Source organism: Homo sapiens, chromosome 11 (genome assembly GCF_000001405.40).
Source record: "Homo sapiens chromosome 11, GRCh38.p14 Primary Assembly".
NCBI lineage: Eukaryota > Metazoa > Chordata > Mammalia > Primates > Hominidae > Homo > Homo sapiens.
Genome location: NC_000011.10, coordinates 69,303,031 through 69,319,975, shown reverse-complemented (window position 1 = coordinate 69,319,975; position 16,945 = coordinate 69,303,031). Strand labels below are relative to the sequence as shown.

The following is a 16,945-nucleotide window of genomic DNA, read 5'->3' as shown; positions in this document are numbered from 1 at the left end:
CTTTGACATTGACTCCCTCGTCAGACAGTAAGGGAGCGTGTCCTCCAGGCTCTGGGAAGTGCGGTGAACCCACCTCCCTTTCTGCTTTAGCGGAGCTCAGAGCCTGCTGAGGGAGGAAACACAGGCACTGTGCCTGCACATAGAGAAAGGCCTCACTCGGCCTTGAAGGCCACCCAGTGTGGGTGACAATGGACTACACTGGAAACCTTGCTAGACAGAATATCCAGGGACAGCAGTCACACTTGGAGCAAGGGCTCCCAGACAACAGGTGGTCTGATGGCATCTAGGAGTTGCAAATAGATCCATGTGGCAGGAATGTGGGGAAGTGACAATAAAAGGGGGACAGAGCTAGGTGGGGGTTGCAGATTTCAAGAATTTTGCCAGCCAAGACTACAACTTCAGGGCTTTATGTAAGGCACAGCCAACATCAGATCTGTAGGTTTAAAGGGGGCCTCTGGCTGCTGGGTGGGGAATGGACCAGAACAGAGCAAGACTGGAGGCTGGCGGCCAGCGAGGAGGCAGTTGGTTGGTCCTAGTGAAGACAGGCAGTGACCTGGACCTGGGCAAGGGGAGGAGAGAAGGAAAGTTTGACAGACTCAAGGGCTCCAGTGAAATGTCAAAGGAGCCAATTTTGCTGATGAATCGCCCATAGGGAGTGATAGAGAGGGCGGTGGCAAAGATTCTATTTTGGAGAAATGAGTGAATGAAGAATATGAGAGAGGAAGGTTTTGGGTAAAGATATGCATTGCTCATGTCTGGTCATGGCATAGTAACTTAAGCTATAAGCAATCAGAAGACTGGACAGAATACAGAAGGCCAACATTGTATCCCTGACAGAACAAGCTTTCAATCCCCAAAAGAAGAAGAAAAAAATATGAGATGAGCCCCATGATCTCCCTGGATCTGTGCTTGGGGACAAATTCACAATCAGGGTGCAGTGAGCTGGGATCCACATTGAATACAATGGCCCTCACACTGTGTTCAGAGCGGACAGAGACTAGAGTCTGGAATAGCTGAATGTGTTGGTCCATTGCTTTACTATAAAGGAATACCCGAGAGTGGGTAATTTATAAAGAAAAGAGGTTTAATTGGCTCACTGTTCTGCTGGGTGTACAGGAAGTGTAGTGCTGGCATGTGCTTCTGGTGAGGGCCTCAGGAAGCTTCCAGTCATGGTGGAAGGTGAAGTGGGAACAGGTATGTCACATGCAAGAGCAGAAGCAAGAGAGAGAAGGGGCAGGTGCCACACACTTTTAAACAAGATCTCACATGAACTCACTCATCACTAAGGGGATGGCACTAAGTCATTCATGAAGGATCCACCCCCATGATCCAAACACCTCCCACCAGGCCCCACCTCAAACACTGGGGATTACCTTTCAGCATGAGATTAGTAGGGTACAAACATTCAACCTGTATCACTGAAGCACCTAGAATCTTCAAGGCAGGGCCTTGGAGAAGAGGGAGCTGCATAGGGGAAGGAGGAAGAAGTCCAGCTGAGGGGCCCTGCCTGCTGGTGAGACCACCTCAGGCTTAATGAAGAATGACTCCTATAACGTTGAGAGTGAAACAGAGATTCCAGATGTCAAGCAGTGCTCGGGGACTTTGGAGTTCTTTCCTAACCAGAGTACAGAGAACTCATTAACACAGCAGGCATCTATCTGCAAGGCCAGAAAAGCCTCATCTTAGTAATAAGGTCCACATCCTTGAGTAAAGCCTGCTGTAGATCTTCTCTAACAAAGCCTTTAGAACTAAGCCTCAAAAAGATTTGCATATTGGAGCTGGATGCTCACCAAGTTGAGAGAAATTTGGGAAACACATTAGGCTTCCCACAGATCAGCCATAACAAATAATAAGACCAAGACTACACACACTCAAGTAATCCACCAGTAATTGAAATGCCTCCTGGAATAAAAATCAACCCTTTTCAGAGCAGGATATCAGAATCCAGAGTTTCTGCAACTTATCACCCACAAGGTCCAAAATATAATCCAACAATTATCAAACACACAAAGAAACAGGAAAACATGACTCATAGGCAAAAGGAAAACCAAAAACCATCCGTAGAAACCAATCCTGACATAGCCCGAATAACAGATTTGGCAGAAAAATCATTCAAAGCAGCAATAATAAATATGTCCAAAAAAGTTAGAGAAAAATATGCTTGACAAATTAATGGAAAATATGATTGTCATAAGGGAGCAGATAAGGACTCTAAGCAGAGAAACAAAAACTACAATCAAAAGAACCAAATGGAAATTCTAGAACTGAAAATAACAACTGAAATGAAAAAGTCACTGAATGAGATAATGAATTCCTTAGTTTGAAACACACCATGATGTCTGTAGGGTATCCAAACAGAGACATTAACACATACACTGGGAGACATGACTCTGAAATTCAGGAGGGAGGCCAGGCTGGGAGAGAGGTCTGCAAGTCATCAGTACAGAGGTAAGGATGGAGGAACTCATGCAGGAAGCCTGTGGACACTGGTGTGATCCTTACTTCAGCCTATGCCCCACTGGGGAGGTAAAACCAACCAACCAACCAAACAAACAAACAAACAAACACTGATCCCTAGACAGGCTATGTGACTGCAAACACCCTTTCAATCCCGTCCCTCAGAGGGCTCCATCCCCCAAGCATAGCCTTGTCAACCTTGCCCCTCAGGATCCCCACCTATTAATTACAAGCTCCTCATGGAGCATAGAGGTGCCTTAGGGGATGTTCTCTGCCAATTAGAGCCACGGGTTGGGAAAGCTACTATGAATTGGGCTACTTCCACCTCCTCCCACTCTTGCAAAATGTGCTCTATAATCTTGCTCGATTCTAAACCCAGTGAGGCCTTCGCAATGCCCCATGCCCCTAGGCTCCGGAACCTCAGCAGAGGAGTGTAGGGGGTGGGTGGCAGCTGTCAGGAGCTGGTCTTGGCAACCCAGTTCCCAGGGCCTGTTGGAACTAGGAACAGGAGCAGGGCTGCTGAGATGGGGTGATAAACTCCCCATCAGAGGAGAGGTAATTGTTAACAGCAGAGTCTTTATCTGAGCTCTCACCTGTACAGGCACTGTGCTGAGCTTGTTACATCTATCATCATAACATCCCGAGGAGGTGGAAAGTTCCATTTTCCAGGTGACAACACAGAGACCTAAAGAAGTCAAGTGACTAACATAAGGATGAGAGAGAAAGTGGTAGGACCAGGATTCAAACATAGGTCTCTCTGACTCCAGAGTCCGTGTGCTTCACCTCTAGGCTCTGAGACTGGATGTGTGTCCAGCTGTTCTTCAAGCCAATTTCTTCCAGAGTCCCTGAAAATGGCTGGAAATGGCTCATTGTCATGGTGGAAGAGCCTGCTGATGGAGGAAATAAACCACTACCACAGCCACCATCATCAGAAACAACAACTCTATCACCATAGCAATTGGTGGTAGGATCATTTGAACCTGGGAGGTCAAGGCTCCAGTGAGTCTCAGCAGAGGAGTAGGGGGTGGGTGGCAGCTAGGGTTAGGGTTACGGTTAGGGTTAGGCCAGTCCAGTTGCTGAGGTGAAACGGCTGGGAAGCATCCTTCTCCCCAACAGCCAAATCATAAATCAACTCTGTTGTCTGTGCCTTCAAACATGTCCTGAACCTGCCCCATCTCCCCAGCTGCACTACCTCCCTCTCTAGCCTGGTCCATGGTGATGCCCTCTCACTGCCTTCCTGCTTTCCCCTCACGTGCCTTTCTGTATAGCCCCATGGAGTAGCCACAGTGATCCTTTACAGAACTCAGACCATTCCTCCTCCTGTTTAACACCCTCCTGTGCCTTCCAACCTACACAGAACAAAATCCATGCCTCTGGCCATGGCCTACAAAGTCCAGTGTGATCTGCCCTGTCCTGTTTCTCTATTGCTATTTCAGGCCACAGCTCCCTCTCTTATTCCACTCCAAGTACTCAAATCTTTTTACATTATTGAACAAGTCCAACTTTGCTCCTGCCTCAGGACCAGTGCACTTACTGTTCTCATGTCTTCCCCAGATCTTCATACAGCTGACTCTTGCCATTCAGTCCTCAGTTCCAATCTTATCCTCTCATCAACTCTCCCTGATGCCCCTAACTAAAGTGCCCCCCAGTAAGCTTCAGGCAGTCATCACCTTTAAAACATTTTGTTTGGGCTTTATTTGCATATTTCCTAGCTTCTCAACTAGATGCCAAGCTCCATGAGGTCATGGATTGTATCTTGTTCCCTGTGGTATCCCCAGCACCTCATACAATATCTGGCAAAAAGAGACACTCAGAAGCACTGATCAGGTAAATTAATTTGGGTTGATCTATACAGTCTCAAAGTTCCTGCTTCTATGGTTTAATCAGAATCTAAAGATTCTAGTTGTATTGTTTAACTTTCCACTTATTCATCTAATCATCTGTCCATCATCCACACATCCAACTGTCCATCCATCACCCATCCACCCACCTATTCAGTTATCCATCATCCATTTATCCAACCATTATCCATCCATCCATCCATATATCCATCCATGTACTTATCCTTCCATGCATCCTTCTAACCATACACATACACCTACATACCCATCCATCCAATGATTCTTAGCCCCCACTCTGTGCTTGGTGCTGAAGACCCAAGTTTAACCAGGACATGAAATCTATGCTAGAGAAACTCCCAGCCTTGTCCTCCTCTTCCCTCTGTTCCTTATACTGTGAGCTGCTCCAGGTAGGAACTGCATTAACCTTGTAGGCAGATGCAGGCAAAGTCCTAGGAGGCTGCTCCTGTTTGTAGATAGGTCTACACCTTCTTGGGACTTAGATTTAGACCTTCACCTCTTTCTTCTGTGCCCTGGTCACTGTTGGCTGTCCCCTGGGGCAGAGTCAACAAATTTATCCAGCTCTGAGGCTCCAGATATAAGGGATTTGAGGAGAAGACTCTGCCCCATCCTGAAGAGTCAGCTGAAGCATTTCAAAATTCAGAATGAAGTTCTGAGGGCCTGATGTGTGGTGTGATCTTTGTGCCACAAGACAAGAGGAAGGAGCAAGATAATGCCTGGGGTAGGCAAGAAGTCTTCCTGGAGGAGTTAGGGTTAGAGGTGGACCTAAAGGAAGGGGGCCTTGGGGAGGAGGAGTAAGGGTGAGAAGTATGATGCAAAGGCAGGGATGAGTGTAGTATGAATGTGGGCTGCTAGTGGGGAAGCACAATACTAGTACCCAATGAACTCCTACTCATCCTTCAACACCCAGTCCAAATGACCCCACTTGAGAAGGCTTTCCTAAACTGCCCACTCTCATCCTCCTATTCTCTTCAGACAGAGAGAATAATGATGGAAATGGTGATGCTAAAAATAATCATAACAGTTACTTAGCACCTTCCATGCCAGGCACAGTAACAAATACCTTGTGTCTATCATCTCATCTAACACTATAGCAGTTCACCATTGCACTACCTTATCCCCACTTTTCAGATGAGAAATTGAGGCTTAGGGTGAGTGGGTGGGTTTACATCTTCTTAGTTATAGAAGTTTCCTGACCTATCAGGGGGATTTATTTGTCTTCTGTCTCCCCTGCCTCCACTGCTCATATATACACACTGGAAGTGTCTATATATGCCCAACAGGGCAGGGACAATTTGATTATTTTCTGGGTCTTTGGAGGCCAGTAGAAGATGTGCCCTAGTGCAAGTCTTGTATGAATGTTGGATGGATGGAAGGATGGATGGTTGAGTGGATGAATGGATGGATGGATGGATGGATGAATTAGTGGATGGATGGGTGAATGGATGAATGGATGGATGGATGGATGGATGGATGGATGGATGGATAGATGTACTAGTAGATGGATGGGTACAAGGAGGGGTGGATGGATGAGTGGATGAGTCCGAAGGGTGGGTGGATGGATGGATGGATGGATGGATGGGTGGATGGATGGACCAATGGGTGGATGGGTGGGTGGATGGATGGGCGAATGAGTGGATGGATGGATGGGTGGATGGATGGATGGGTGGATGGATGGATGGATGGATGGATATGTGTGTGTGTGTGAATGAGTGGTTAGATGGATGGGGGGGATGGATGGATGAATGGATGGATGGATGGATGGATGAATGGATGCGTGGATGGACGAATGGATGGATGAATGGATGGATGGATGGATGGATGGATGGATGGATGGATGGATGAATGGATGGATGGATGGATGGATGGATGGATGGATGGATGGATGGGTGGATGGGTGGATGGATGGATGGATGGATGGATGTGTGGGTGGATGAGTGGGTGAATGGGTGGATGGGTGGGTAGGTGGCATATAGAAGCCCTACCATCTCTCTGAAGTTGTTGGTTTTGTGGTGCCTCAGTGTGGCCCATATGAAGACAGCTTCTTGACTGTACCAGAGCTGAGCAAGCGCTGGAGGCCACGTCAGCCCCTCCCATCTTCCCCCCCACACACCTCTCTCTCTTTCATGGTCATTCCCCAATTTGGCCTCCCATCCCATCTTCCTGTTTAGGGGCTCGGCTTTCCAGGGGATGCCCCCTAAACCAAACCTTCATGGCCCCCAACCCACTTGCAGATGCTGCTGGCTTTGACCTCCCACTCCTCAGCTTCCCCAGTCTAGCCCCCGACCCGGCCCCCACACCTCCCCAGAGCCAGCTCCTCTCCCCGCAGCTGTCCACACTTACAAAGCCAGGACTGTTCGATAAAGCCGTGCCAGCTGGAACAAGACACTTCCCGTCTGACGGGAGGTTCTGCATGGAGCCTGTGGGCAGCTGTCAGCGCGAGGGGCACAGGACCGGATCTGGAGGCTGTTCAGGGCCAGCGCCTCCCTTGGCCCCCTCAAGAGGGGCTCTGCTGGGCCTGGTCCAAGGTCCCAGAAAGGGCTTCTCAGACTGGGGGACCTGGAGTAGGGGTTTTAGCCTCCTGAACCCTTTGGGGCCCTCATACTCCCGTCCCTTTGGGATGCACAGGGGCAGCCTCCACACTGGAGCCTGGGAGCTGGTGACATTTGTTTGTTCTGCCCCAGGGCTCAGCCCACAGTGACCAGGGCACAGAAGGAAGAGGTGAAGGTCTCAATCTAAGACAGGCTGCTCGGTGTGGTCACCTGCAAGCCACGGTGGGCCACCAGGGAGGTCAGAGCAGAGGTAATGGCCAAGAGCAGCCCCAGGAGGAGGCTGCTGCATCCCTTCTAGAAAAATCATCTGCTGAATGTCTTTAGGGCAGCTGAGAAAGTCACTCCACCAGCCCTTTCTGCTTGCTCAAAGTCCACTAGGCAATTATTCCACAACTATTTCTTGAGCACCTAGTACATGCCAGGCATGGGGACACAGGCCTGAGTTCCAGCCCTCATAGAGGCTGCATTCCCACAGCCAGCCTCTACCTTCCACTCCCCCAGGCCCAGCCTGCCCGGAGCTGTGCACCAGGCCTGGACCCAGCCTGGCAGAGCCCCTGCCTTCTCTGGCTCTGACTCCTTCTATAAGGCTCTAATTACATCCTGGGAGAAACAATTAGAATGAAACTATGGGTTGTTTTTTTTTTTTTCTCCCCCCTGCCCCGCCCCAAGCTGGGCCTGTTTAATAACTTAATTAAATAAACAGAATTATAATTATAATGTTAATATTTCCTTTCTGTAATGCCGGCACATTCTGCTGGAAGAAGCTTCTCTTGGGAATGGGAGTGTCCCACAGCCCCCAGCACCTCCCCAGTCCAAGGCTGGCTGCCCACCGGCCTCCCTGCTAGTGCCTCAGCCTGGAGCCCACCCGGTTCTGGGACTCAGCAGAGTTGGCAGGAAACCAGCCGGGGGGGAAACAGCCGCGTTCTCTCCTTCCTGAGTGTTTACAGTCGAGCTCAAACCACACGATGAAAATTACTCTGAAGCTCCTAATTGCACATTTCCTTCCTCTAACCATTTTCTTTTGACAGTTGACTTTGAAAACATTTACCACTTAATTCTCCCGAGGCGGGAAGGAGGGAGAAGGAAGGAGGCTGCCCTGCTAGTGAGAGCTAGCCTCCCTGGAGGGGCCAGGCTTGGAGCAGGCGTCCTCACTAGCAGGGTCCCTGGGGTCCCAGGCTGGGGAGAGTCTTGCCTCTCCTCGCGTCCTCACTAGCTAGGCGACCTGGAACAAGTCAATATTGCTTCCTTGAGTCTCATTTCCTCATCTATAAAATAAGATGAAGAATATTCACTTTGCAAAGTAATGCTATGAGATCAGCCAGCACTTAGTAGGTGCTCAATAAATGTTAGATCCTTTCCTCCAGGCTTCTTGGAAAAACACAGTCCCTGAAGGCAGAAGTCTCCCAGCTCTTATTTCCTCTACACAGTGTGGTGTGGAGAAGTTCAGAGCAGCGGTCTGGGTTCACACACGAGCTTGGCCTCCACCTAGCAGAGCAGTGGGGTCTGGGAAAGCAGCTTGCTTTTTGTGACTCAGTTTCCAGGTCTGTAGGAAGGAATAGTGACAGTGCCTACATCACTGGGTTGCCTGGAGGATTCTGTGACTTATGGGAAAGTATGAACAGGAAACAAAGGATGGCTCAGCAAGGGCTGACAACTATCCGCATGGGTCACTCTGCAGGTGGCTGGACCGAGACAAAGTTGGATTCTAGTCTTGGACACTCTTGTGCTGGGAAAGTCCCTGGTTTCAGGGGCTTTCTGTGTCCCTGCTGTGAAATGGGTACGCTGACTCACAGGCTTGCCACAAGGCATGGGGAGGTAGTGGGCAGGAGGCCCCAGTGGGAGGCCTAGCCAATGGCAGGGAGCAGCCACAGTCTTGTCCCAAAGCTAGGAGCCCGAGGAGCCTTTGTCCCAGAGACAATGAAAGGTGGGGGCTGTAGCATCAATAGAGACACCTGTCGGTACTACAGCCACAGTCAGCGGAAGGGAGCACTCGGCGTGGCCAAGAGCGAGACTGGGACCTCTGTGCCCACCCTGCCCAAAGGCAGCAAAGAACCCCCCGGCTCAGGACTCCCCTCCACCCCCATCCATGCCTAGGCTCTGGAGCAGGTGGCCTGGCTTTGCCCCCCTCGCTGTGTGGCCTCAAGCAAGTGACCGAACTGTTCTGAGCTTCCACCTCCACGTCTGCAGACTGGGACTAATCTGGGTTACTGGGAGGACTGGCAAGTTAATACATCACCCAGGGTCTACTGGATCACACAGTAGGCACTCACTGAATGTTGGCATAATGTCCAGGACTGTTATTCATTCCTTCCCAAGCTCTGTGCCACCCCTGAATGGTCCTGGAGCTGACAGAGACAGAACAGCCCCTGGCACTTGCATCCAGGCCAAGTCAGGACCTGGTTTCTGCACCCCTACGGCCCAGACACCCATGTCTCGAGACCCAGTTCTAACGTACCGTCCTCTTGGAGCCTTTCCGCAGGCTTCCTTTCCACATTATACTCATGCCGGGGGCCCACGGGGCTCAGATCCCTGGAGTGCAGGGACAATGGACTTATCTTTGTGGCCCCAGTGCCGTCCTCCTAGTCTTTTCCCACATGCTGTGGGAAGACACAAGGAGATTGGGAGAGGCCGAACTGAGAGCTGGAACGAGACTTAGAAGCACTCACACCAGTGTGCAAAGGGCCCACATTGGCTGGACAGAGACCACCTGCTCGTACCGTGCAGAGCCAAAGGCAGAGAGGAACATAGGGACGGCAGTGGAGATATGGAGAAGGAGACGGATTTGAGAGTCGTGGAAGGAGGTTACAATGATGGAATGAAGCAGAAGAATCTAAGAGCCTGATTCAAGAGATACAAGGGACAGGAATCCCCAGAAGGACGTGTGACACCCATGTGTGAGGCTTGGCCCCATTCCATGAGATGGGGACAGCCCATGGAGGACCAGGATAGGGGCAGGGAGGCCATCCCGTTTGGTTTAGGCCATGTTTGGCTGGGAGCATTTCAGGTGAGAGTCACTGCTCCTCCTCTCTTCATGGGATCACACAGAGAGCCACAAGCAGAGCTGGGAGAAGGATCTGGTCTCCCTTTCCCCCTCATGTGAGTCTAAGACTGTTTCCAGCCCTCCCTGTGGTTTTCCAAGAGGACACTGAGTGGACCGAGTCCAAAGAGGAATGTTCCCTTGAAAACACGCATCCTCTCAGCTGTTTTCCTCTAGAATCATCAGCAAGAGCCCAAAATCCATACATTGTTTTCTGGTGAAAAATAATAGCAATCCTGTCCTGGTTGCCAAGTCTGTGAAATCATGAGCAGCAGACAGGGGACCTCTGGAGCATTCCCAGCGAGCCAGGTGCCAGCAGCCCCCTGTGGCCCTGAGGGCAGGTGCTGCGGGCGGGAGGGTCCGTTAGGGGCCAGCTGGGCCTGGAGTGGAGGCCATAGCCCTCTCTCCTCCAGACACCTGCTTCTGGAGGGACCTTGCCCCCTCCATGCTGAAGTCACTATGTGAATACTAGGACCCCCAGAATTTTTCTCTGGCCAAGATCTCCCCTGAGCCCGGAGCTGCTAACCCAGCAGCTCAAGGCTTCTGCCTCACCCGTGGGAGTCTCTTAAGCAGCTCAACCTCAGTGTGCCCCAAAAGGAACCCACCTCTTTGCCTTCCTTTCTCCAGGTCCCTCTCCTGCTTCCAGTTGCCCCAGCTGCAAACCTGGGAACACATTGAGACCCAGGTCACTGAGCTGCATGTAGTCTCCCTCCTTGAGCTCTCACATCTGCCTCACGCCTCCCACCCCACACTAGCCTCTGCCCAGATAGCTGCCACCACCCCTGACTCACCCGGCAATCTGCCCTCCTTCTATCAGAAAAGGGGTCTTTCAAACAGGATCCGGACAATGCCACCTCCTGCTCCAGTGCACTTCAGGCCACTCCCAGTGGCCCATCAGAACCCCCCACTCACCCCCTCCGCCTGCTTCAGGCCCTGCCTGGGGGCCCCACAGCCACCCACCCCCACGGGACCTCCAATCAGGCCCAAGGCACTCATCACCAAATCTGCCCCAACCTGCATGTCGGCCATGTTTGCAAGAGCTGTTCCCACTCTCAGAATGGTCTTCCCACTCCCCGACCCCAGGGGAAGCTGAGTTGCACCCCCGTCATAGCCCAGGAACCTCTTCCCTGGGATGCATCCCCATCCCCTCCTCCCAGGGCATCCCTGGAGCAGCCCGTATCCCAGGTGCTGCCTGGCGGGCTCCACTTCCCGTGCTAGGTGGCACACTGTGCACCTAAGGCAGTGGGAGCCTTTGGAAAGCTGGGACTTACAGTCACATCTAGCTGGGTTCAGACCCGCAGGAGCAAGAGCCAGGCAACCTCAAGCAGGCCTCGTGGCTGCAGCTTCTGCACATATACAATGTAGGAGACCGCATGACCCAGCCCACAGGGCTACTCCCGCCTTCACCCTACATGGCTTGTTGGCATTCCTATGACGTGCCAGGCATGGTTGTAGGAGTGGTGTGAGAGCAGGGAATGCACAGCCCAAATCCCTGCCACCCAGAAGCTGGCCTGCTCACGGACAGAGGCCCAGCATGTCAGATGGTGCCAAGTGCTCCAAAATATTGGGAGAGGCAACTATAAATAGGGGGCCAGGGAAGGCTCATTGTGCAGGCCTTCATTTGAGCAAAGACTTGAAGAAGAGGAGGAAGCAAATCACATGGGTGTCTGGGAAAGAGCGTCACAGGCAGAGGGCCCAGCCAGGGCAAAGGCCTGGGGTATCAGCTGCCCCAAAAGTATGAGCAGCTGCAGGGATGCCATAGCGGCTGGAGTGGAGGAACAGGGTCGGGAGAGGCAAGATGAGGTTGGAGGGGCAGGCCCGCAGAGGACTTTGCTGCCTCCTCTGAGATGAACCCTTGGAGGGTGAGCAGAGGAAGGGCAGGGTCGAGGCTCAGATGTTAACAGATCGAGGGCCATGGAGATGCCCCTGCAGGAAGCCAGGGCAGCTTGGACCAGAGAGGACTGGGGCTGTGGCAGGGAGTGGTCAGGTGTTGAATGCCGTGTGGAAGGGGTGGGGACATCACATGCTTTGCAGTGCTGTTGGCACGAGCTGTGCACTCGGGTGTGAGAGGGGTTTGTTTGGCCAATAACTGATTAAAATAACGAATCCACAAGACATGATAAAGAGGACGACGGCCAAGGCACAGAGGGTGTGGGAGACCCTCTTCCTGGCCAGGATGATGTGTGTGGACCTCCTGGAAGAGATGGCCTCTGAGCTGGGAGAAGGAAGATGGCTTGGACAATTTCGGGAGCATGTGATCCCCATGAGAGGAACAGAGGAAGCTTCCTATCCTGCCTCCTGCTTTGGCCAGTCCCAAACCCTCCTGGGCCTGGTTGGGCAGGACCCAGAACCTCCCCCCAAGGGACCGGGATGAAAGGAACAGCAAAGGTGGGCTGGGAGTCTCTCAGTGGTTAGCACAAGACCTGTAGCATTTCCCCCCACAACCCCGAGAGCTGGCCCCAGCTCTGGCCCCAGTGCTCATCTGGGCTGTTCTGCCACCTACATGGGCTGCGGGGCTAACTTGGGCCCCAGAATCACAGGCACAGGGCTGCCCCAGCACACCCTGGGGTGTAGAGAAGACAAGCGAGCTCCCTGAGCCTCAGTTTCCCCATCCAGAAAACGAGGGTATTGTGTTACATCTAAGCACGGAGGACCCCTCCTGCTCAACCTCGTTAGGGTTCTGTGGGAGCTGGCACTGTCTTCCAGCAAAGCCCCGCCCTCACCTGCTGGGGTGCCCAGAATTGCTACAGAGCTACTCTGCTTGGCACGTGAAGACCCTGTTGTCTCCATCAAATTGCAAATGTGTGACCTTCAATGAGCAGCCCGTTCATGTCCCAGCCCCTTTCCTGACACTGGTCCTGCCTGGTCCTTTGGCACTGATCAAAGACAGTGGGAAGGGGAAACCAAGTCCTAAGTTTTGAGGTTGGGGCCAAGGAAGGGTGATGTGAGGGAGCGCTGCACTGCCCTAGGTAAGACTCACCGTGAGCAGCAAAGGCAGCGAGTGGTATTGATGGGCTGCCCTCTGCCCACTGTGTTGTGCTGGGCACCATGGCACACTTCAGCAAGCATCCCCTGCATGGCAACCACTGGTCACTGCACTTCACAAAGGATGGAACCAAGGCCCAGGGAGGTGGCTTCTGCACAGGAGGAGGGGAGGGGACACTGGACCCCAGCGGGAGGACGTGAGGGCATTGGTGGTCCTGGAAGGACCTCAGTCTTCACTCCCCCACTGCTACCTGCTCTGTTTTCAGCCTGATTCTTTCTTCTTCAGGGCAAACATAGTCTCTAATAGCTTGGGCATTCGGGTGACTTGGGAAATCCTGCCAGGTTTCCCAAGACAAGAGCTAGGTTCTTATTGTTCTTGGGGACTCTAGCCCCCATCGTGGGGCAGGTGCACAGGGCCTCAGGAGTATTAGGGAATGGAGGGAGCAAGGATGGCCCTTATCTCGGGTGGCCAATGGTCACTGGGGCTTAGGCTGCTGAACAAGGTGGAGGGCAGGCACTTTGCGGATAGAAATGAATCTTTGGGGGCCAGACCCAAGGTTGGCTAGGAGACATGGCCTGTTGGCCTGGCCAAGGGGGCCCACTGTGAGGAGCTAGGGGCCCACTGGCTTCTGAACCAGTGCATTCTCACTCAACTGGCTGCTTTTATGAGCCCTGGACTCTGCAGCCAACTTCCCGGCAGCAAAGTGAAGGGGCATCCCCAAGCCACCTGCCAGCATCCGGCTCCTACTGGTGTGGTGGGAAGGAAGGAGACCCAAGCTCCTGGCCATCCCGCAGCACCCAACTCTGTGCCTGTGGGTCAGGCCCCTTACTACTCAGGGCCTCGATGTCTCCAACACCTGTTATTGGGGGCATTCCAGAAAGGAGAGAGTGTCCACATTGACTAATATCTATGAGAACTGAGAAGGCCCTGGGGGCATGCTGCCAAGAGTCCAGCTTTCTGCCAAGCCAACATAATTCAAAAGGTCGTGTGTCCTTCTGGGCAAGGTCCACACTGGGAGGTCTCCGGGGGCAGTGCTGGGAACAAGAACATTCGAGATCTCTCCTGCACCCACGTGTGACTATGCACACGCCTCAGAGCCTCCCCATGCCTCCACCTGCCCATCTGTTAGATGTGATCCTGCCTCTGTCTCTGCCCTGAGCGTCGTGGAGCTCTGTTTTATGTGGAACTGCAGAAGTCTTCTGCAGCTTCTGCTTGCGGCCTGGCTGTCCTTGACTTTCAAGAGGACCGCTTCCTTATAAAATAACCGGTATCTTTCAAGCTCTCCCACTACACCCACTGTTCTGCAGCTATCCAGGATCTTAGCTTATTTATATCAGCTCACATATATTAGCTCGTTTTATTCTTTTTTTTTTTTTTTTTTTTGAGACAGAGTCTTGCTCTGTTGCCCAGGCTGGAGTGCAGTGGAGTGATCACCGCTAACTACAACCTCCGCCTCCCAGGTTCAAGTGATTCTCCTGCCTCAGCCTCCCGAGTAGCTGGGACTACAGGTGCTCGCCACCACACCCGGCTAATTTTTGTATTTTTAGTAGAGACGTGGTTTCACCAAGTTGGCCAGGCTGGTCTCGAACTCCTGACCTCAAGTGATCTGCCACAACCATGTGGGGGGGAATTATTATTATCGTCATGTCCATGCTACAGAGGAAGAAACTGAAGATCAGCGAGGTTGCCAAGGACATGTAGCTAGAAAGCCTGAGCTCAGAACCCGTGCTCTTAATTAAGGCACCACACTGCCTCCCTTCTGATGAAGGCCCAGAGGGGCAAAGGAACCTTGGGAGGTCACACAGCAAGCTATTGGCTGTATACAAACCCAGGATTCCTGACTCCCAGGCCTCTGTTCTTGCACCCACATACTCCAGGTCCTCCATTTATTCCGGGGATAATACGAGCAGGTTCTTCATGGGAGAGAGACATAAAGGAAATTTCTCCTGCAATGAGGCACTTGTGAGATTCTTGAGAGAGATTAATAAAATCTTATCAAAGAGCACAGTGATTCATGCCAGCCCACCCTGTCAATCAGGAATCGGCAGAACTATAATTTCTATCAAACTATAATTAGCTGAATTTCCTTTTGTAATCTTGGGAATCTGAACTGACTGCAGCCTATCATTGGAGCCGTGGGATAATGATCAGCTGCTTCTCGTACAAAAAGGTTAGGAGTCAAAATGCCCTACGGGTCCCTTTGATGTTTAAAGAGGAATCATTAATGCAAAGACACGAAAAAATTAGTGGAATTTCAAATACAAAACAAATGTAGCCTTGTTGGGATCCAGGGTTTCATGGAGGGAGGGATGCTTGCCCGGCTGCTAAACCAGGATGGCTTCCTGGCCATGGCCACCCCCTCCTTGGACAAGTGCCACAGAGTGGGTGAGGAGTGGGGTCAGTATTTCTCTAGGGCCAGCATGGTGCCAGGTAAACAGTGCATACAAGAAGTAAGTGGAGAATGAATGAGTAGATGAATGAATGAATGAAGTGGGAGGGGTTGGTGTTTTGTTCCTACACATGAGCCTTTGCCATCTGTCATTCTACCTGGAATACCTTCCCCTCTTTCTGACTCTCTGCCTGGGGAATCTGCTGCTCAGCCTTCAAGACTCACCTCAAATGCCCCTTCCTTCAGGAAGGCTTCCTGGATTTCCTCCCCAACTTGGCTGCTCTCTCCTCAAGCTCCTGGGGCCTTAGTCTGCATTTCCTCTCCCGCTAACCCCAGTCAAGGCTTCTGTGGCAGGCACCACTCTGCACTGAGGATTTATGTCAATGAAATTGACTTGGGTCCCTGTCCAAGGGGGTCTGCATTCTATTGAGGGGAGACAGAAGGCAGGCAGTAACCTGTGCTCATCAAAAGGTGCTCATCAGCCTTTGTGTGTCCTTCCCCCATCAGGGAATCTCTGGGGAAGACCTCGTCTGCCCCACCTCTGTGTCCCCAGAGCTGAGGGGCATCATCAGAAAATGGATATTAGGATCACAGATCATAAATCTACCCTTAACCCCATCCCCCAGTCCCTTCTCAACCTGGCAGGCAGAGCATCCTTTCAGCAGCCTGAGTCGGACCCATCCTTCCCCTGCTCCCTAATCCATTCAAGCGAAAGCCAAAGGCCTTAAAAAGTCCTGCAAGGGTAGGACCAACAAACTCACCCTTTGAGAGGAGAAGGGGGCCCCATAAGAATACACTAGAGCGGAGAAAACGAAACTACTAGGGAAAGGGAGGGCCCACTGAGAATCACCCCAGAAACCCGACCACCACTGGTCTTCGCTGGACACCATGAACCACACTGTCCAAACCTTCTTCTCTCCTGTCAACAGCAGCCAGCCCCCCCAACTATGAGATGCTCAAGGAGGAACACGACGTGGCTGTGCGGGGGCACCCCACAACCCTGCTCCCCCGACATCCACTGTGATCCACATCCGCAGCGAGACCTCCGTGCCCGACCATGTTGTCTGGTCCCTGTTCAACGCCCTCTTCATGAACCCCTGCCGCCCGGGCTTCAAGGCATTCGCCTACTCCGTGTAGTCTAGGGACAGGAAGATGGTTGGCGACCTGACTGGGGCCCAGGCCTATGCCTCCACCGCCAAGTGCCTGAACATCTGGGCCCTGATTTTGGGCATCCTCACGACCATTCTGCTCATCGTCATCCCAGTGTTGATCATCCAAGCCCATCGATAGATCAGGAGGCATCATTGAGGCCAGGAGCTCTGCCCATGACCTGTATCCCACGTACTCCACCTTCCATTCCTCGCCCTGCCCCCGGAGCCAAGTCCTGTTATCAGCCCTTTATCTTCACACACTTTTCTACAATAGCATTCAATAAAGTGTATATGTTTCTGGTGCTGCTGCGAAAAAAAAAAAAAAAAAAAAGAATACACTAGAGCACGTGGGGCCATCCCAGAAAACTGGTCCCATGTCAGCCTCCCTGGGAGATGGGAGATTGTGCAGGATCTAGCCACTTCCCAGATTTGGTCCCCTCTGCCAGCCTCCCTACTGCTCCACAGCGGGGTGCGCTGTCCAGACACCCCCCATCCCTGCTCACCGTGCCCCCCC

At 52.1% G+C, this 16,945-nt stretch overlaps 1 pseudogene, besides 3 other annotated features; it reads left to right on the top strand.

Annotated features, from left to right (window-relative positions):
- Positions 8,528-8,757: an enhancer, noted in NCBI's record as "active region_5157". NCBI's record gives its function as "activates an Ori minimal core promoter by ATAC-STARR-seq in GM12878 lymphoblastoid cells {active_cell/tissue: GM12878}" and the evidence as "EXISTENCE:reporter gene assay evidence [ECO:0000049][PMID:35858748]".
- Positions 8,528-9,098: a biological region, named in NCBI's record as "H3K4me1 hESC enhancer GRCh37_chr11:69078345-69078844".
- Positions 8,599-9,098: an enhancer, noted in NCBI's record as "H3K4me1 hESC enhancer chr11:69078345-69078844 (GRCh37/hg19 assembly coordinates)". NCBI's record gives its function as "activates a minimal SCP1, AML or CMV promoter by ChIP-STARR-seq in naive H9 embryonic stem cells {active_cell/tissue: H9 hESC(naive)}" and the evidence as "EXISTENCE:reporter gene assay evidence [ECO:0000049][PMID:30033119]".
- On the top strand, positions 16,170-16,625 carry IFITM9P (interferon induced transmembrane protein 9 pseudogene; annotated as a pseudogene).